Genomic DNA, 20,249 nt, shown 5'->3' on the forward strand with positions numbered 1-20,249 from the left:
ATTTCAGCTTCTGGTACTTACTAACTGTGTTTGGGTAAATCTCACCTGAGTCTTGCTTTTCTCATCCGTAAAATGAGAAAAATAAAACTTTAGTTACAGGGATGTTATAAGGATTAAATGAAATAATTCATATAAACGACCTGATATGCACTTGGTGATAAGTTAACTTTATTTTTTTATTTTATTATTATTTTTTAAGATGGAGTCTTGCTCTGTCACCCAGGCTGGAGTGCAGCGGCACAATCTCAGCTCACTGCAACCTCCACCTCCCGAGTTCAAGCCATTCTCCTGCCTCAGCCTCCTGAGTAGATGGGATTACAAGCATGCACCATCACGCCCGGCTAATTTTTGTATTTTTAGTAGAGACAGGGTTTCACCATGTTGGCCAGGCTGGTCTTGAACTCCTGACCTCAAGTGATCCGCCGGCCTTGGCCTTCCAAAGTGCTGGGACTACAGGCGTAAGCCACTGTGCCCAGCCGGTGACAAGTTAACTTTAGTCTCTTTCCACTATCTCTTGTTCATAACAATTTACTAGTCCATATATGTACAGGTGTAAGCCACTGTGCCCAGCCAGTGACAAGTTAACTTTAGTCTCTTTCCACTATCTCTTGTTCATAACAATTTACTAGTCCATATATGAGATGTGATTATGAAATAAAGAACAAGATCGATATTTCATGTAACTATACTGAAATGAAAACATCTAAATCCCTGCCATCCCCAGCATAGCAGTACATCTTGGGAAGCTACCCACTTGGCCTAACTCCACTCACTGTGTTTGCTCAAAACATTTTTGGAATGCTTCTCTCTGCCAGTCAGAGCCCCAAGCAGAAGACATTCACAGGAAATGAAATCAATGATTTACTATTCATCCGCCATAGACTGTTACTCATCCTGAACAAGTGAATGAGTGATTATTTTCAAAACAGACGAACAGATAAGAGCAAGCCACAACCCTCACACCACTTCACAGAGTGGCCATTCAGCACTCAGACCAAGTATCCCTCAGCTTCCCAGAACTTTTTCCAGATACGCTCAGAGAAGCACTTGTTGGCAACTTCACCAGGAGCCACTTTCTAAATGGGGAAGAGATTGGCTCTGAGGAACAGCATGGATTAGTCACAGGAGGCGAGGGATGGTGACATTCCTGAAAACAGAGGGGACCAGAAATAGATTTACACATGTCTAGGGCACTCTTTTCTCTACAGAAAGGTTTAAAAACACTGGCTCTAATGAGGGGTGGGTGGTATGTAACAAGGGTAATGTGGGAGAGAGGCAAACCCATTTCAGGGAAAAGCACTTCCCTGGAGATGTTCTCAAGAGCCTTTATTTACAGAAAAAGTTGCGTGACCGTGAGCATCCTGAAGAAGAACCACCTTCCTCAGATTTCAAAGGCCAATCATGTTGATGCTCTTAGCCAGTGATTACTAGCTGGATCTGTGGATTTGTGAGACGCCTGTGTGGTGATGTGAAAACGGAAAAGTCCAAGAACCGGAAGCCAAGCAGCTTAGACGGCTCTGGCACCTTGGGGCCAGTGCTAGGCACTCAGAGTGAGAGCATCCCCTGCTCAGGTGAAGTAATCTTTCCTGCAAGGCTCTACAACCACTGGAGAGAGACCCAAGGTCCTCCGTCATTTGAAAGGCTTAACTGCAATTTCTTTTTTATTTTACTTTATGTCTAATTTTTAAAATAGAAACAGGGTCTCTCAGGCCAGGCGCGGTGGCTCACGCCTATAATCTCAGCACTTTGGGAGGCCGAGGTGGGTGGATCATTTGATGTCAAGAGTTCAAGACCAGCCTGACCAACATGGTGAAACCCCGTCTCTGCTGAAAATACAGAATTAGCCAGAGATGGTAGTGCGTGCCTGTAATTCCAGCTACTCGGGAGGCTGAGGCAGGAGAATTGCTCGAATCTGGGACGCAGAGGTTGCAGTGAGCCGAGGTCAGGCCACTGCACTCCAGCATGGGCAACAAGAGCTAAATGCTCTTGTTGTTCTCAAAAAAAAAAAAAAAGAAAGAAAGAAAAGAAAAAGAAAAAAGAAACAGGGTCTCATAATGTTGCCCAGGCTGGTCTCAAACTCCCGGGCTCAAGTGATCCTGCTGCCTCGGGCTCCCAAAGTGCTGGGATTACAGGTGTGAGCCACCACACCTAGCCACAATTTCTTTCTGTTTTTCTCTTTTTTTTTTTTTGTTTCCTCAGAGTCTCCCTCTGTCGCCCAGGCTGGAGTGCAGTGTCACGATCTCGGCTCACTGCAACCTCTGCCTCCCAGGCTCAAGCAATTCTCCCACCTCAGCCTCTCCAGTAGCTGGGATTACAGACAGGCACCATCATGCCCGGCTAATTTTTTATATTTTTTTAAGAGACAGGGTCTTGCCATGTTGCCCAGGCTGGTCTCGAACTCTTTGACTAAAGCAATCCCGCCCACCTCAGACTCCCAAAGTGCTGGGCTTACAGTTATGAGTCACCATGCTCAGTCACAATTTCTTAATTTTTTGTTTTAAATTGAACATTTTCATTTCTTAATTTAAAAAAATGAACATTTTAAAACCCCCAGAAAATTGGAAAGAATAATACAAAGAGAATAATACAACAAAACCTCATATGTTTTCTCACCTAGATTCACCAGCAGCAGGTTTTTGCCATATCCACCTTGCTTCACTCTTTCTATTCACACACACTTCTCTTTAGCCAAATCATCTAGAAGGCTGCCCATATTATGACATTTCACCCCGAAAACTCCAGCCTGCATTTCCCAAGGGCAAGAACATTCATAATCACAACCTAATCACAACACCAGTATCACATCTAGGGAAATTCACATTCATACAAAAACAGCATCCAACACTGCGTCCACATTCAAATTTCCCAAACTGTCCCAAAAACGTCCTTCGTAGCTGATTTTTTTGGGATTCAAGTACCAATCAAGGATCTAGCACAAGATACTCTAGGCCCACCTTGCGATTGCCCTGCCTCTGACCTGGAATCAGCATCTCTCCATGAAGCTCTGGCTCGTTTTAGTAGAAAATGATACTTAGAACTCAAAATCTAGATGCCAAGTATGCTGTCTCTGCAAATTTTCTTTTCTTTTTTGTGGAGATGGAGTTTCACTATGTTGCCTGGGCTGGTCTCAAACTCCTGGGCTCAAGTGATCCTCCTGCCTTGGCCTCCCAAAGTGCTGCGATTACAGGCTAAACCACCGCACCTGATCTTCACGTTGCTTTTTTTTTTTTTCTGAGACAGGTCACCCAGGCTAGAGGGCAGTGGTGCCATCACAGTTCACTGAAGCCTTGACCTCCCAGGCTCAAGGGATTCTCCTGCCTCAGCATCCTGAGTAGCTGGGACTACAGGCGTGCGCCACCATGCCCAACTCATTTTTTGTGTATATTTTTTGTAGAGACGGGGTTTCACCATGTTGCCCAGGCCGGTCTTGAACTCCTGGGTTCAAGCAATCCAGCCACCTCAGCTGGGTTGGGCTGGGACTACAGGCATGAGCCACCACACCTGGCCCACTAAAATTTTTATTTTTACTTTATTTTGTTTATTTTGTTTGTTTGTTTGAAACAGAGTCTTGCCCTGTCACCCAGTCTGGAGTGCAGTGGCTTGATCTCAGCTCACTGTAACCTCCACCTCCCGGGTTCAAGTGATTCTCCTGCCTCAGCCTCCCAAGTAACTGGAATTACAGGTGCACGCCACCATGCCCGGCTAATTTTTCATCTTTTTAGTAGAGACAGGGTTTCACCATGTTGGACAGGTTGGTCTCGAATTCCTGACCTCAAGTGATCCACCAGCCTTGACCTCCCAAAGTGCTGGGATTACAGGTGTGAGCCACTGCACCAGGCCTATATATATATGTGTGAGTGTGTGTGTGTGTGTGTGTGTGAGTGTGTGTGTGTGTGTGTATATATATATATATATATATTTTTTTTTTTTTTTGATACAAGGTTTCGCTCTGTCACCCAGGCTGGAGTGCAGTGGTGCAATCTTGGCTCACTGTAACCTCTGTCTCCCGGGTTCAAGCAATTCTCCTGCCTCAGCCTCCCAAGTAGCTGGGATTACAGGACCTCGCCACCAAGCCCAGCTAATTTTTGTATTTTTGATAGAGACGGGGTTTCACCGTGTTGGCCAGGCTGGTCTCGAACTTCTGACCTCAAGCGATCTGGCCACCTCAGCCTCCCAAAGTGCTGGGATTACAGGCATGAGTGACCATGCCTGGTCCACTGCAATTTTTAAATGCAATTTGCAATCAATAAATTTCCAGGTCACTGTTCCTCATCCCAGGCATTCCTGAGACATGATGAGGGTTACTAGCAATACAGTGTGACTCCAGAGGACAGTTCAACCTTCATCCTGAGAGAATTTCTATTTTAGATGCCTTTCAGAGGCTGAAGGAGTGAGTTAAACCTTCACTTGGCTTCACCTGAAACATTCATCTTCGCTGCTTTAAGGAACTTGCCCTTTCCTCCTAAGAGCACCAAGTCATAAGACATTTCTAGGCCGGGAGCGGTGGCTCACGCCTGTAATCCCAACACTTTGGAAGGCCGAGGCGGGTGGATCACGAGGTCAGGAGATTGAGACCATCCTGGCTAACATGGTGAAACCCCGTCCCTACTAAAAATATAAAAAAATTAGCCGGGCGTGGTGGCGGGCGCCTGTAGTCCCAGCTACTAGGGAGGCTGAGGCAGGAGAATGGCGTGAACTCAGGAGGCGGAGCTTGCAGTGAGCCGAGATCGCACCACTGCACTCCAGCCTGGGCGACAGAGTGAGACTCTGTCTCAAAAAAATAAAATAAAATAAAATAAAAAGACATTTCTAGACCCTGCTCAAGAAAGAAACAAGAACATTAATGTATAGCTTTAATTTCAGAAAATCTGCATTTCAACACTGATTTACCATCTTTCATCACTCTATTATCATGGGTTAGTCACATAATTTTTCTGAGCCTCAAATTTTTGTTGTTGTTCTTCCAAAGAAAAATGTATTGAAGCAACTTTCCCATGTTGTTTTGTTTTCTTAGGTGAATAATAATTAAACAAGGTATTATGCCTGAACGTGCTAGGAAATTGTAAAGAGCTATGTAAACACTATTGCCAAAGAGGAACAAGAGTGTGCCATTTTAGGTGGGCTGAAGTGGCACAGACAATCGAAGGCCAGGAGCAGTCTCAGTCCCCAGCTCTTCAATTAAAGCCTTGAGCTAAGAGGTGGATTAGGGCTTGCTTTTCTTCCCCTCTCTTAGTTTCCCTTAACGGGAGCTGCTAATAGAGGAGCAGGCCCTAAGGAAGCTCCTAGGAGGCTCCGTCCAGGCTCACCTTGCACACTCAGCCCCAGAGGCACCCACACACAGTCTGGTGGGAGGGCAATGACTAATGTAAAAAGTCAGAGCCAAGAAACTGGAAGAACTGTGCCTCTTGTCATCTACAGATGTGTTTTCCAAACCACACTTCCCATGGAACATTAGAGATTGGCTAAAATATTTCTCTTGCTGGTTCAGGCCAGCGCATTCTAGGAGGGTCATTTTCCCTTGATGCTCCCCTCCTCAAACTTCCGGTTCTCCTTGCTCCACTTCCTGTGTGTGCCCCTTAGACAGACCCTTCAGGGACTGCCTTTAAGGAGAATCCCCTTGAGGTTACTCACAGCACTCTGTGCACCAGACATGAGCTGGGGATGAAGGTCTGTCTAATTACCAACAAAATCAAGGGAGGGAGAAGAAAGATTATGACCAGGGCTCTGAGCCAGTCCAGCCAAGGTGCGGCTATGGGGTGGAAGAAAATTTGTTGGCTTTGGTCTCAAAACCAGGGAGAAGAGAAAATGCAACTGTACTTGTGCTATCAAGATGCCTCTCAGCTGAAATGCAATTCAAGTCCATTCAATAGACATTTATTAAGCCCCTACTGAGGGCACAGCTAAAGAAAGATGCATGGAGCCTTATGGAGCTCCCATTCTACCCTGGAGAGAAGCACTTAAGCAAATGAAATGCCCTTCATTGTGCTTGGTGCTATGATAAAGGGGTCACAGAGGACAGGATATCCACTTCCTCATGAAATCAGCCCATTCCCTTTTGAATATGTCTTATAATTAGGAAGTGTCTTTTCTCTGTTCCTTCTCCCTCTACCCTCCTAGCCCTTCCTTCCTCTCCTCCTCCTTCCATTTTTCTATTTCCCTTTCCTCTTCTTCCTTCTGCCCTGTCCCTCTTTTCTCCTCCCCTCCCAGGTCCTGCCAGCTCTGAGAACCTGAGGTCCTGCTTCCCACCCTCTCTGCCCCATCTATGCAATGTGGGCAAAGAAGGGAAGTGAGGTCAGGCAAGGCCTCTTAAAGGAGGCCAGAAGAAGGAAGAATTCCAGGCAGAGGGAACAGCATAAATTGAGAAGTATGGCCTTTCCCAAAAGGCTTGGGCAAGTATGATTTTCTTACTCATTTCTTGTCCCTGCCCATAATCTATCTCTTCCCCTTAACCTAAGTCATGAGGCTGAAAAAGCTTCTCCTGAACCTTGAAGCCCATTCAGCCTCAAAATTAGCTGCTCTAAGGAATACTAGTGTGGTAGGTAAAATAATGGCCACCTGGAGATAGCAAGTCCTAATCAGGGTTTTTGGAGATGTAATGATATTAAGGATCTTAGGCCAGCTGTGGTGGCTCACACTTGTAATCCCAGAAGTTTGGGAGGCCGAGGCAGGTGGATCACCTGAGGTCAGAAGTTCGAGACCAGCCTGGTCAACATGACAAAACCCGGTCTCTACTAAAAATACAAAAAAAATTAGATGGGCGTGGTGGTGCATGCCTGTAATTCCAGCTACCTGGGAGGCTGAGGCAGGAGACTTGCTGAAATCCGGGAGGCGGAGGTTGCAGTGAGCCAAGATTGCACCATTGCACTCTAACATGGGTGACAAGAGCGAAATGCCATCTAAAAAAAAAAAAAGAAAAAGAAATTGAGAATCTTGAGATGGAGAGACTATTCTAGATTATCTAAGTGGCCTTAATTGCGACCACAACTGTCCTTATAAAGAAAAGGTAAAAAGAGATGTCAGAGAGATGCACACAGAGGTGATGTGAAGACAGAACAAGAAGACTTGAAGATGCTGCCTTAAAGACTGGGGGAGGCCAGGCGCGGTGGCTCACGCCTGTAATCCCAGCACTTGGGAAGGCTGAGGCAGGCAGATCACGAGGTCAGGAGTTCGAGACCAGCCTGGCCAACATGGAGAAATCCCATCTCTACTAAAAATACAAAAATTAGCCAGGCATGGTGGCGTGTGCCTGTAATCCCAGCTACTCGGGAGGCTGAGGCGGGAGAATCGCTTGAACCTGGGAGGCGGAGGTTGCAGTGAGCTGAGATCGCATCACTGCACTCTGGCCTCGGCAACACAGCAAGAATCTGTCTCGGAAAAAAATATTAAATTATATTTAAAAAGACTAGGAGGATGTAGTGACAAGCCACAGAACTCCAGCAGGCACCAGAAACTGGAAGAGGCAAGAAATACATTCCCTTCCAGAGCTTCCAGAGGGAGCGCAGCCCTGCTGACACCTGAGGTTAGCCCAGGGATTCTGATTTAGAGCTTCTGGCCTCCAGAATTGTGAAATTAACATTTCTAATTGTTGTAAGCCACCCAGTTTGTGGTCATCGGTTACAGTTACCACAGGAAACTTGTACAATCAGATTCCTCCAGAGATGAAGCATCTCTTTTGCCTAGGAGTCTTTTGGAAGGAAGGAGAGAGGAGAGAAAAGAGAAAGAGGGTGACCTGTCCCTTCCTTGCTTAGATGCTGGCCAACACTGGTGGTCTCCAATCCAGAGAGCCATACTTGTACAAAGACTTGTCCTGGATTTTTTTTGTTTGATTGGGGTTTGTTTGTTTGTTTGTTTTCAGACAGAGTCTTGCTCTGTCTCCCAGGCTGGAGTGCAGTGGCACAATCTTGGCTCACTGCAACCTCCACCTCCCAGGTTCAAGCAATTCTCCTGCCTCAGCCTCCTGAGTAGCTGGGACTACAGGCATGTGCCACCAAACCCAGCTAGTTTTTGTATTTTTAGTAGACACGAGGTTTCAGCATGTTGGCCAGGCTGGTCTCTATCTCCTGACGTCGTGATCCTCCCACCTTGGCCTCCCAAAGTGCTGGGATTACAGATGTGAGCCCTGGTCTGTTTTTTTTTTTTTAATTATTTATTTATTATATTTTTTTGAGACGGAGTCTCCTTCTGTCACCTAGGCTGGAGTGCAATAGTGCGATCTCAGCTCACTGCAACTTCCACCTCCCCGGTCCAAGCACTTCTTCTGCCTCAGTTTCCCAAGTAGCTGGGACTACAGGCATGCACCACCATGACCAGCTAATTTTTGTATTTTAGTAGAGATGGGGTTTCACCAGGTTGGCCAGGCTGGTCTCAAACTCCTGACCTCAGGTGATCTGCCCACCCCAGCCTCCCAAAATGCTGGGATTACAGGCATGAGCCACTGTGTCCGATCTATTTTGTGTGTGTGTGTGTGTGTGTGTGTGTGTGTGTGTGTGTGTGTGTGTGATGGAGTTTTGCTCTTGTTGACCAGGCTGGAGTGCAATGCCGTGATCTCGCCTCACTGCAACCTCTCCCTCCCTGGTTCAAGCGATTCACCTGCCTCAGCCTCCTGAGTAACTGGGATTATAGGCATGCACCACCATGCCCGGCTAATTTTGTGTTTTCAGTAGAGCCGGGGTTTCTCCATGTTGGTCAGTCTGGTCTCGAACTCGCGACCTCAGGTGATCCGACCCCCTCAGCCTCCCAAAGTTCTGGGATTACAGGTGTGAGCCACTGCGCCTGGCCAGTGCCAGGTCTATTATTATTATTTTTAATAAAGATAGGGTCTCATTATGTTGCCCAGGCTGGTCTCAAACTCCTGGGCTCCAGGGATCCTCCTGCTTTGATTTCCCAAAGTGATGGGATTAGAGGCATGAGTCACCACATCTAGCCTAAATTTACATTTAAAAACGTCTATTCATCTGGGAGAGGTGGTTCACCTGCCTTTAATCCCAGCATCTTGGGAGGCTGAGAGGAAGGCAGAAGGATCACTTGAGGCCAGGAGGTAGAGACCAGCCTGGGCAATATAGCAAGACCTTGTCTCTACCCAAAACAAAACAAGTCTATTCAAAATGAGATCTTGGGACCAGGTGTGGTGGCTCATGCCTATAATCCCAGCACTTTGAAGGGTTGAGGCAGGAGAATCAGTTGAGTCCAGGAGTCCAAGACCAGCCTGGGCAACACAGCAAGACCTCATCTCTCCAAAAAAAAAAAAAGAAGCTGGGCATGGTGGGACACACCTGTAGTCCCAGTTACTCAAGAGGTTGAGGTGGGAGGATAGTTTGAGCCCAAGTTGAGACCACTGCACTCCAGCTTGGGTGACAGAGCAAGACCCTGAAAAACACAAAGCAAAACAAACAAAACAAAAGAAAAAAAAAGGAAAGAAAAAAACACTTAAAAAAATTAGATCTTGGCCATGCCCTGTGGCTCATGCCTATAATCCCAGCACTTTGGGAGGCTGAGGCGGGCAGATCACTTGAGGTTGGGAGTTCGAGACCAGCCTGGCCAACATGGTGAAACCCTGTCTCTACTAAAAATGCAATAATTAGCTGGGCGTGATGGCACATGCTTGTAATCCCAGCTACTTGGGAGGCTGAGGCAGGAGAATTGCTTGAACCCGGGAGGCAGAGATTGCAATGAGCTGAGATCGTGACACTACACTCCAGCCTGGGTGACAGGGAGAGACTCCGTTTCAAAACAAACAAACAAAACAAAAAACAAAAAAACTCCCAACATATAAAGCTGATAGACTTACAATGAAAGAAAAGAGGATACCACACTACCCTCTTAATCCTCAGTTGGGTGACCCCAACCCCTGTCCCTCAAAGTTCCTGGGGGTCCCTTGACAAAATCCTAGCGATCCCCAGGCTAAGCTAATCCCCTCATTTGGCAAGCAAGGAAGTTGAGGCCCAGAGAGGGGCAGCACATGGTTTCAAAATCTTCTGACCACGAAGGATCCCCTTAAAGTCTAGGGGTGAAAGTCATTCCCAGCAGTTCCAAAGCTGCCTTTGTTTGGCAAGGCAACACCCCAGCCTTTAGGATTTGAAACAGTGGGCAGACTTTACTGCCTGTTTTTGTTGTTGTTGTTATTTGTTTGTTTTTTTGTTTTGTTTTGTTTTGGGACGGAGTCTCGCTCGGTTGCCTAGGATGGAGTGCAGTGGCGGGCGTGACCTCAGCTCACTGCAGCCTCTGCCTCCCAGGTTCAAGCCATTCTCTGTCTCAGCCTCCCGAGTAGCTGGGATTACAAGCACCTGCCACCACACCTGGCTAATTTGTTTGTATGTTTAGTAGAGACAGGGTTTCACCATCTTGGCCAGGTTGGTCTTGAACTCCTGACCTCGCGATGCACCCGCCTCGGTCTCCCGAAGTGCTGGGATTACAGGCATGAGCCACCGCGCCAGGCCTTGTTTGTTTTTTTTAACAGGGTCTCACTTTGTCACTCAGGCTGGAGTGCAATGGTGCCATCTCAGCTTGGCTCACTGCAACCTCGACCTCCCAAGTTCAAGCAATCCTCCTGCCTCAGCCCTCCAAGCAGCTGGGACTACAGGCACACACCACCATGCTGGGCTAATTTTTATATTTTTAATTAAGATGGGGTTCACCATTTTGCCCAGGTTGGTCTCAAACTCCTGAGCTCAAGCAATCTGCCCACCTGCCTTAGCCTCCCAAAGTACTAGAATTACAGACCTACTGCATGTTCTTATTGTTATTACTTGACCGTTCCTCAAGGACAGAGTGAAGGAGAAGGAGAAGATATAGGACATGCTTCAGAAATTGTGAGTGCAGCCAACTGGGTCCATCCTGGGTCTCCCTCTGGCCATCTGAGAGGATGTACCATAGCAAAAATATGGCAGGGGCCAATGAGGGAGGGTTAAACATGCTCACATGAACAAAGAGAGCTTTGTGGTCCAGAGTGGATTCTGACATGACCACACACGGAGACATGTCAACTTGCTTTCCCTTCTGAGGGAGGAACTTCATGCTGATGTGTCAGCTCTGTCCCTGTGCAAGACCCCTACTCCCATCTCACTTCTTTTGGCCACTGTAAGATATACTGCCAGATGAATAGTCATTTCTCTTCTCTCAATTTATTTATTTGTTTAGAGATGGAGTCTTGCTCTGTCACCAGGCTGGAGTGCAATGGCATGATCTCAGCTCACTGCAACCTCCGCCTTCCAGGTTCAAGCGATTCTCCTGCCTTAGCCTCCGGAGTGGCTGGGACTACAGTCACATGCCACCATGCCCAGCTAATTTTTGTATTTTTAGTAGAGATTGGGTTTCACCTTGTTGGCCAGGATGGTCTCGATCTCTTGACCTTGTGATTCGCCCACCTCAGCCTCCCAAAGTGCTGGGATTACAGGGGTGAGCCACCGCACCCAGCCCCCCTCTTCTCTCTTTGTAATAGAACAGTGTAGACATTTATGAAGCTTTTCCTAGCTTTTCAACGTCAACACAATTAAAGCACAATGCATCTGAATTGCCAGCCCCCCAACCCAGTGCAGAACAAATGGCAGGAGTCCTAAATAAAACAGGGGTTTGCACTGAGCTGAAGACAAGTGAGGAAGCCAAGCTGGGATTTCTGTAAAAGTGTCCCAGACAAAAACAGTTTGCATCTCAGGTGCCTAGTTTTTCATAGTGCTTTTTCCAGTCTACCTAAAACTATTTTTATATGCATCATTTCCTTTATCTTACAGTTTGCCTAAAGGCAGGGAGAAAGACAATTAATTCAATTTTTCTGGAGAAACAGAGATCCAGCAATTCTATGTCAAGGGGCATAGATGGAGTCAAAAAACTATCTTAAAGGCTGGTGTCCTTTTATCATCATAACAATGGTCGTTAACTAGTTGTTTGGCCAAATGTTAAGAGTTCAAATCTTGGCTCTGCCATTTACTAGCCATGTGACCTTGGACAAGATACTTGACCTCTGGCTCAGCACCTTCATTTGTAAAGTAGTTCCTAGTTCATAGTCTTGTCAAGGAATTGTTTGAGTCACATATGTAAGAAGCAAAGAACAACACCAGCATATAGTAAGTACTCAATAAATTTGAGTTATCATTTATGTAGCGCTTTATGGTTTACAAAGCGCTTTCACATACATTATTATCTCTTGACTAAGATCCAGATCATTTGACTTTCAGCCCAGGCATTTGGAAACAATTCAGAATACTGGATAAAATCCAGCATGTTTTACCGAACACATCCAAGGAGGCTAATACTAGGTATGGTGTTGCCAGCCCAGTCTTGTCTTTTTGCTCCATGTCCTGGAAGAGCATTCTGCAAGGTCTCCAGGATATCCCCTTTGCTCTGGAAGCAGCTACTACCCAGGAAGCATTAATTTTCCCTCATCCTTTGTACAGCAGGAGGCAGAATTAATACACATTGTTGCTTAAGCTCCAGCTGTCTTATCTCCCTGCTTCCAAACACCACTGGCTATTCTTTAGGAAACCAATTCCGGGCTCAGGGAGTTACACTGTATCATTTCCCCTGGTAAAACCTTCACAGGCCTTATAAAGCAACCTCAAAAAGCCACTCCATGGGTGCTGGTCACCATCCCTCCCCCATATTCCAACCAGGGACAGGCCCGGACTGACATTTCTGGAAAACCCAGTGTGTGCAAGGTTAGGTTACCACGGTCCATACCAATGAGGAAATTAGGCTGTAGAGAGAAGTAACTTGTCTAAGGCACCGCAGTGGATACGAGTGCTGTAGCTACGCACTTACCAGCTCTATGATCTTCCCCAACCTCTCTGAGCTGAGTTTTCTCATCTGTAAAACTGGGATAATGATTAAACACACTCCTAGGGTCAGTATAAAACTTCAGTGAGTTCATTCATTACGATTAGCACAATGACTGGCACATACAAGAGCCCAATAAATGTTAGGTTTTATTATTATTATTACCCAAAAAAGACTATCAGTTAGGGTGTACTCATTGCCTCTTTCATTATAGCAAGTGGGACCCTTGTCCCTGACTGAAGACAATGACTTTGTTTCCAAACGAAAGAGGGTTAGCATCCCCCAGCCAAATTCACCAGGTGGGGCATGGGGCATCAATATGGTTGTGGCTTCCACCATCTTTGCAGTGGGAGTAGTTTTGTCCAGCCTATGATACAATTCACTTATTATTGTGCAGTGGTGATTCGGTCCGTCTTTGAATCCTTTTATTGACAGGATATCCACTCCCTAATGAAATAAGCCCGTTCCCTTTTGAACACCTCTTATAATTAGGAAGTATGTTTTCTCTGTTCCTTCTTCCTCTACCCTCCTAGCCCTTCCTTCTTCTCCTCCTCCTTCCTCCTTTCTTTTTCCCTTCCCTCTTCTTTCTGCCCTGTCCCTCTTTTCTTGTCCCCTCCCAGGTCCTGCCACCTCTGAGAACCTGAGGTCCTTCTCCCCAACCCCTCTGCCCCACCGGGAAGGCACTATTCAGTCACTGACCATAACCTTGTAGAGCGCAGTAGGTCTTTAGTGCAGCCACTTGGCCGGCTGATTGGGAACTCAACTTCCGATGGTCCTAACAACCCTTTGGGTTTTGCAGGATCTTTGAGAAGCAAAACCTTTTACCTAGGCCTTACGGCTTGGCCTTCTGGTCCATTAGTATCATCCACCAGTTCACCCAATTTCCATTAATAACCGCATCTAGAATCACATGAAACTTGAGATGGGTTGATCTCCTGTCTTGAGGCCCAGCTGGGCGGGTATGCCAGCCAAGGAGAGGGCTGGGGCGCCGGGGGTGACTCTCGGGAGGTGAAGCACACAAGCAGCCCATAAGGTTGGGATCCTCCGTCTCCAAGTAGCGCGACTACAGCTCTTGCCCGCACGGAGCAGCCTCGGACAGCGCGGCCGCTTTAAGAGAGGGGCGGGGCCCGGGTACAGGCAAGTCAGGGCCAGCCCACAAGGCTCCTTTTCCTTTTTGATCCATTCAAAAATTACTCATTGCAAATTCCCGGACTGCTAGGCGAGGAGAGGGAAGGGGGCGGAGGAGACAGGGCTACTGCAGGCGCAGAGCTGGGGGCAGCCGGGGGCCCGAGTGGCTGAGGCTGGTCCCGCAGCGGCCGCTTGCCGGCGTTCTGGCTCCTGTGGCCTCACCAGGAAGCGTCAGAGTCCCGACACTGGGGAAGCTCGGAGCGCCGCCTCCGCTGCCGCCGCCTCCTGCCTGGCTCTGGGTCCCCGAGCCCCCTCCCCTGGCCCAGCCCGACTCCCTCCTCCTTCCCGAACCATCCGGCTCGGGCTCCTTCCCTGGCGATGGCTGGCCGCTGAGCCATGGCTCAGTACGGCCACCCCAGTCCGCTCGGCATGGCTGCGAGAGAGGAGCTGTACAGCAAAGTCACCCCCCGGAGGAACCGCCAACAGCGCCCCGGCACCATCAAGCATGGATCGGCGCTGGACGTGCTCCTCTCCATGGGGTTCCCCAGAGCCCGCGCGTAAGTGGCCGGGCTCGCAGCCCTCGGCGACCCCTCCCGCGCGCGCGGCCGGCCCTCGGCTTCGCTCCGGCTCGCCTCCCAGCGCCTGCGGGACAGGCAGCGCGCTCCCCGCTGCCCGAGACCTGTTGGGGGCGGGATGGGCGCGCTGGCAACCCGGGACTCGGCTCCGGGCGGGGGTGCGGGGGAAGACGCGGCGCGGGGGCGTTGGGCCAGGGCTCGCCGTGGGATGCCTAAAGCTGGGGGACGAGGGCGCGGGGTTCGAGTCCCGGGTATAGTGCTCAGCCTCCGCCCCAGCCGGGTGGAGCTCAGCGTTTCTCTCGCGCGCTCCCCTAGGTCTCCAGCGCCGAGCGCCTAGGGAGGCGGGGCCCTGCGGAGGACTCGGGCACCCTCTCCGTCTGGAATACTGGGCTGGTCTGGGATCCTCCGGTGTCTGGGAAAGGGCGGGAGACTGCGGGGCAGGGAGGCCGGCGCCCCCGTTGCAGCGGCTTCCAGCTCCGGATGTCGCTCTCGGGTTCGGTCTCCCCCTGGAGTAGGAGGAGCGGGAGCGTGGGTGTTCCTGCGTGTTCATTGATGGGGAGGATGGAATCAGAAGGAGAAGCGATCCCTCCAGGGGACCTGGGTTCTCGTCAGTGGTGACGGCAGCTCAGAAATCTGTGGGTGCCTGAGAGTAAGGAGGGGGAGCTGTTCTTCATCCTTCCTCTAGGAGAGTGGGGTAGGGGAGGGCAGGGAGAGCGCAGGTGGCTGCCCCTGGAGCCTGCTGGGGAGAGGCCTGTTTGCCAGCATAGGGTGGCGGCGGCCGGAGTCGTCTCAGGCCGGTCGGCTCAAGTCTCAGGGGCTGGAACTCTGCCTAAGAGGAAGCCAAGGCCCAGCGGCCAGGCCCTTCTCCCCTGGTTAATCCCTGCCGTGCAGATTTCTTAGGTGGGGACACAAGGCCTGGCGTCCGGACTGGGCGCAGCTTCTTTTCATCTTTGAATTACAGCACCTGAACAGGAGAGTTGGCCAAACTTAATCAGTGAGGGCCAAGTAAATGAAAGTCCTTTTTATTTTTTTCCCTTCTCACATTTTTTTTTCAGGTGATAACTTTATTTATGTATTTATTTTTCTGAGACGGAGTCTCGCTGTGTCGCCAGGCTAGAGTGCAGTGGCGCAATCTCTGTAACTTCCGCCTCCCAGGTTCAAGCGATTCTCCCACCTTAGCCTCCTGAGTAGCTGGGACCATAGACATGCGCCACCACACCGGGCTAATTTTTATATTTTTAGAAGAGATGGGGTTCTGCCATGTTGGCCAGGCTGGTCTCGAACTCCTGACCTCAGGTGATCCACCCACCTCGGTCTCCCAAAGTGCTGGGATTACAGGCAATAACTTTATGTCTCCCCTCCCTTATCTCTGGGCAAACCTTGTTTATTCTCTACTAACTTGGTTGTAATCTGTTAATCAAAGTAGACCCTTGAATTTGTTATTCTCCAGGCTGCTGGGACACGTTGGAGTGGCCTTAGAAGGCTGCAAAATGGACTGATGGTTTCTGCCTTCCACTGACGTCCCAATACGACTTCCTAATACTAGGGCTCCAGTTCCTGATACCAGAATTACAGGGAGAAAATGTGGGTTCTGCAGGGGTGTGTCAGGTGTGGACGCTTCAGGTGAAGTCGTCGGTGTGGATGATCAATGTGCACAGCTCTCCTTAAAAACTGGAGGTGGGGCTGGGTGTAACCCCAGCAGTTTGGGAGGCTGAGGCAGCCGGATCACTTGAGATCAGAAGTTTGAGACCAGCCTGGCCAACATGGTGAAACCCTGTCTTTACTAAAAATACAAAAATTAGCTGGGTGGGGTGGTGCATGCCTGTAATCCCAGCTACTTGGGAGGCTGAGATAAGAGAATCGCTTGAGCCCAGTAGGTGGAGGTTGTAGTGAGCCAAGATCGCACCACTGCACTCTAGCCTGGGTTACAGAGCGAGACTTCATCTCAAGAAAAAAAAAAAAAAAAAGCTGGAGGTGGGAGTGGGGAAGTCAGCTGGGGAATGCTGCAGAATTAGCATAGTCTCAGGCTACTGCCTTTTTTGAAATAAGGCCAGCATTAAAAACCTAAATTGCTTAATTAAGGGAAGAAATACTTAACTGAACTCCTCAGTCATATTTGAGATTCAAATTCAAATCAGCTTTAAAGGGACATCTTTTCTCCTGCTCTGAGTCCAGGAGGTCTTGACATGTCTTGACAGATTAGCATAAGGGTCATTTTTGGCTTGTTTAACCCCTGAGGTCTCCTAATAGCTAGCATGTATTGAATACTTACTCCATACTGTTCTAAGTACTTATATCTTTATTACCCATTTTATCCTCCTAGCAACTCAATGAGGAAGGTACCACATGCCCATTTTATGAATTGGGCAACTGAGGTTTAGAAGGGTTGCATAACTTGCTCAAGGTCACAACAGTAAGCAGTGAAGCTGGGATTCAAACCCAGGTATTCTATCTGCACAGCCCAGGCCTCACACCATCTAGGGCCAGTAGGGCCAGGATAGAAATGATTGAATGTGGGTAAAATGCTTAGAACAGTTCCTGGCACATAGTGAGCAATCGTGAAGTGTTAGTTACTGTATTAGCTTCCTGTGACTGCTGTAACAAATTGTCACAAACTGAGTGGCTTAGAACAGCAGAAATTTATTCTCTCACAATTGTAGAGACCAGGAGTTGAAAATCAGTATCGCTGGGCTGAAATCAAGGCATCAGCAGGGCCGTGCTCCCTCTGGAGGCTCTAGGGGAATCCACTCCCTGCCTCTCCTACCTTCTGTTGGGGGCTGGCATTCTTTGGCTTGTGGCTGCATCAATCCAATCACTGCGTTTGTGGTCAAATTGTCTTTGTTTTCTGTCTGTGTCCAATCTTCCTTGGCATGTCTCTTATAAGGATACATGTGGTTGTACTTAGGGCCCACTTGGATAATCCAGAGTAATCTCCCCATCTCAAGATCATTATCTGCAAAGTCCTTTAAAAAAAAATGTATAAGGCGGCATTCACAGCTTCTAGGGATTAGGATGTGGGTGTCTTTTGGGGGATCATTATTTAGCCTATCACAGCTATTATTATATTACTACTAGCACTGCCCCTCTTTACCAAAGAGGTAACAAGAGCAGGCCTGGAGAGAGGGAGGTTGGGTTTGCTGCTCTTTTTCTTAAATTCTCTGCCTGGAAGGGAGTGAAGGTCCTGGAGGTCACCTGATCTAGTTGGACTCCTTGCCCAGGCTTGCTTCCCTCCTCTACTTCAACCCAGAAAGGCTGATGTGGTCGGCCTTCCCCCCAGTAACTTAGACCAGTATGAAGAGGGGCCCTCGGAGGCTTCAGAGAACAGGCATTTAACTTCATTTTTGAGAGTTGAGAAGAAAGAGCAAGGGCATCGGGCTTAGCTCATCAGAAGCTTCTCTCTTGAGCTTTATGCCTGGAGGGCTGAGCATAATGAAAATCCAAAGCCCCAAAGAGCAGTGATGGTCTCCTGGGTCTAGAAGACTTGGATGTGATGCTTTAAGAAGGGGTAAGATGGTTGTCTCAAACCTGGCCCTTTTGACAGACTGACATTAGCCAGGGCTGACAGCTCTAGGCCCTTTTGACAGAGTGACAGCAGCCAGGGCTGACAGCTCTAGTTTCCCCTATGGGTGTAACTGGGTCTGGTGGTGTGCGGCACCAAGAAGGGGCACTCAGGCCAGGCTCTTGGTGGGCTGGCAGAGAGGGTTGAGGCCAGCAAGGCTGGATCCCACCCAGCCCGTGCTGGGCTGCACTGTGCTGTGGTCTTGCAAAAGTCACTTAGTCCCCTCAGGGCCATGCTGTTGCCCTCTGAGGGGAACGCAATTAATGACTGCATGCTTGTTAAGTGCTTGACAGAGCTAAGAGGACCAGAGGGCTGCAGGGCTGGCTCAAGCAGGGTGACCTCAGGGTGTGCTCTCTCTAGCTCATTACTCCCTGGAGCTGGGCTAGGTTTTTTCCATTCCACTATATGAACTTCAGTCCAACTTAGACACTGCTATAGGAGAATTTGCCTCATGGAGGACTGAGAAGTGGCGATTTCACGGTGTGTGTGTGCGTGTGCGCTCGTGTGCAAGTCCAAGTTAAGGAGGTGTTCGGGAGGCATCAGGAAGGAAACCTTTCAAAGGTCAAAATGGCCAATCGCTTCCTTTTTTCTATGCCCACTAGCACTTCCCTGTTTTAAGGGTTCTAAAAATAAGGGTCCAGCTTCCTTGAGGCTAGTGAGGTTGGTTGGAAGGAAAAGAAAGAATGTATTGGGGGCAAAGACCTGAGGAAGAGGAGACCTCACAGGCCAGGAGAGGGTCTGAGCCTAACACCGGAGAAGATGGGACAGGACTCAGATCAGAGCCATCACTTTGCACAGCCAGATCCGATGTCAGAGCACTGTCATCCCCCTGCTGACCTCTGGTTTCTGGGGAGACAGGCTCTCATCTCTTCTGTAGCTTGGGGCTGATGCTGGGCCTTGGAGCAAGTCACTGAATAATTGAATTGGAGGAATCCTTGCTGATACAACCCTGATGAGTTTTTTTATTATTTTTATTTTTTGAGGCTGCTGGTGGCTAGAACTTTGTCTACAACAAATGGCTTTTTAATGTTTCCAGTGATTAAGAGATAATAGTCTTGGGAAGGACACTGTGGCAGGGATCAAAGGTCCTAAGGTCTGGTCTAGCTTCTGAATGATATCTGCACCTTTTAGGTCTTCTATTTAACCTCTTTTCCTTAATATCTTCACCAGCTTCTGTGCGTGGCAAGACCTGTCATGTGTCACGGGCCTTTCCAAAGACAAAATGAGATAACAGACAGAAAAGAACTTGGGAAAGTTAAAGATAGGATCAGGATGCAAGATGTGATTGGGGCATTATTGTGTTGGATTGCAAGAAGGGAGAGGAGGTGAGATGGTGGTTGAGGTGTCTGGCGAGGATTTACGTGTATTATTGGATTGTCCTTTTTTTTCTACTGAGAATATTTGAACAATGCCAAATTAAAGAGCAAGGCAGTGGCAGAAGGAAAGAGCTGGAATGAGCGCTTTTGACTTGGCTTTGGACAGTAAGCTGTGTTAGCTATGCCTCACTGCCCAAAGATAAAAGCAGCTCCAAGTTGGCTGCATGAGGAGTTGAGAAGCGGCATGTGGAGCCCATGAATTAAAGTATCTGGTTTCCCTGGCTTTTTCCAGCTTACCTGTTGGTTGACATTGGATCCTCTGAGAACACTTGGCCAACCCAACATCTCTGAAATGTAGCTGACTCTGGCGTGGGGGCTGCAGCTGCTTTCCCAGCCTTGGATAGACAGAAAGAGGAAAAACTGGAACCCACCTGGAGCTGAAGGGCTCTTATAGGTGGGCAGGGCAAGGAAGTCTCTAATCTACCTGCTGTGACTGTGCACCCACATAACACGCCCTTCTATCTGTGTTATTATACACTGTAAAAATTGCTCTTATGTGTATTAGATACCCCACAGCAGTCTTGTGAGGTAAAGCACACAACATATGCTTTGTTTTAAGATGAGACTGGAGGCTTAGAGGAGTTCAGGACGTGTCTAGAGTCACACAGTTGGTATGCAGGGACTGCATTGCCATAAGAGCCTCAGGCTAAACTGCAAGTCTCCTGAACTTTCCAGGCTACACGAGGTCCTGGTTCCAAAAAAAAAAAAAACAAAAAAAAAAATACCTTGATATGCTTTTTTTCTTTTTTTTTTTTTTTTTGAGACAGAGTTTCGTTCTTGTTGCCCAAGCTGGAGTGCAATGGCGTGATCTCAGCTCACTGCAACCTCTGCCTCCTAGGTGTC

At 48.4% G+C, this 20,249-nt stretch overlaps 1 protein-coding gene across 2 annotated transcripts in view, besides 2 other annotated features; it reads left to right on the top strand.

The window, feature by feature from the left end:
- Nucleotides 13,870-14,371: an enhancer, noted in NCBI's record as "H3K27ac hESC enhancer chr11:122526335-122526836 (GRCh37/hg19 assembly coordinates)". NCBI's record gives its function as "activates a minimal SCP1, AML or CMV promoter by ChIP-STARR-seq in naive H9 embryonic stem cells {active_cell/tissue: H9 hESC(naive)}" and the evidence as "EXISTENCE:reporter gene assay evidence [ECO:0000049][PMID:30033119]".
- The window catches only part of UBASH3B (ubiquitin associated and SH3 domain containing B), a 158,752-nt gene continuing 152,467 nt past the window's right edge, over nt 13,965-20,249 (top strand). For both annotated transcript variants that reach the window (NM_001363365.2, NM_032873.5), the window contains exon 1: nt 13,965-14,453. In NM_001363365.2, coding sequence (NP_001350294.1) covers nt 14,402-14,453 — 52 coding nt within the window. In that variant the 5' untranslated portion in view covers nt 13,965-14,401. The remainder of the gene's footprint in view (nt 14,454-20,249) is intronic.
- Nucleotides 14,575-14,624: a silencer, noted in NCBI's record as "silent region_4009". NCBI's record gives its function as "represses an Ori minimal core promoter by ATAC-STARR-seq in GM12878 lymphoblastoid cells {active_cell/tissue: GM12878}" and the evidence as "EXISTENCE:reporter gene assay evidence [ECO:0000049][PMID:35858748]".

This window comes from Homo sapiens, chromosome 11 (genome assembly GCF_000001405.40).
Source record: "Homo sapiens chromosome 11, GRCh38.p14 Primary Assembly".
In the NCBI taxonomy this organism is placed as follows: Eukaryota; Metazoa; Chordata; class Mammalia; order Primates; family Hominidae; genus Homo; species Homo sapiens.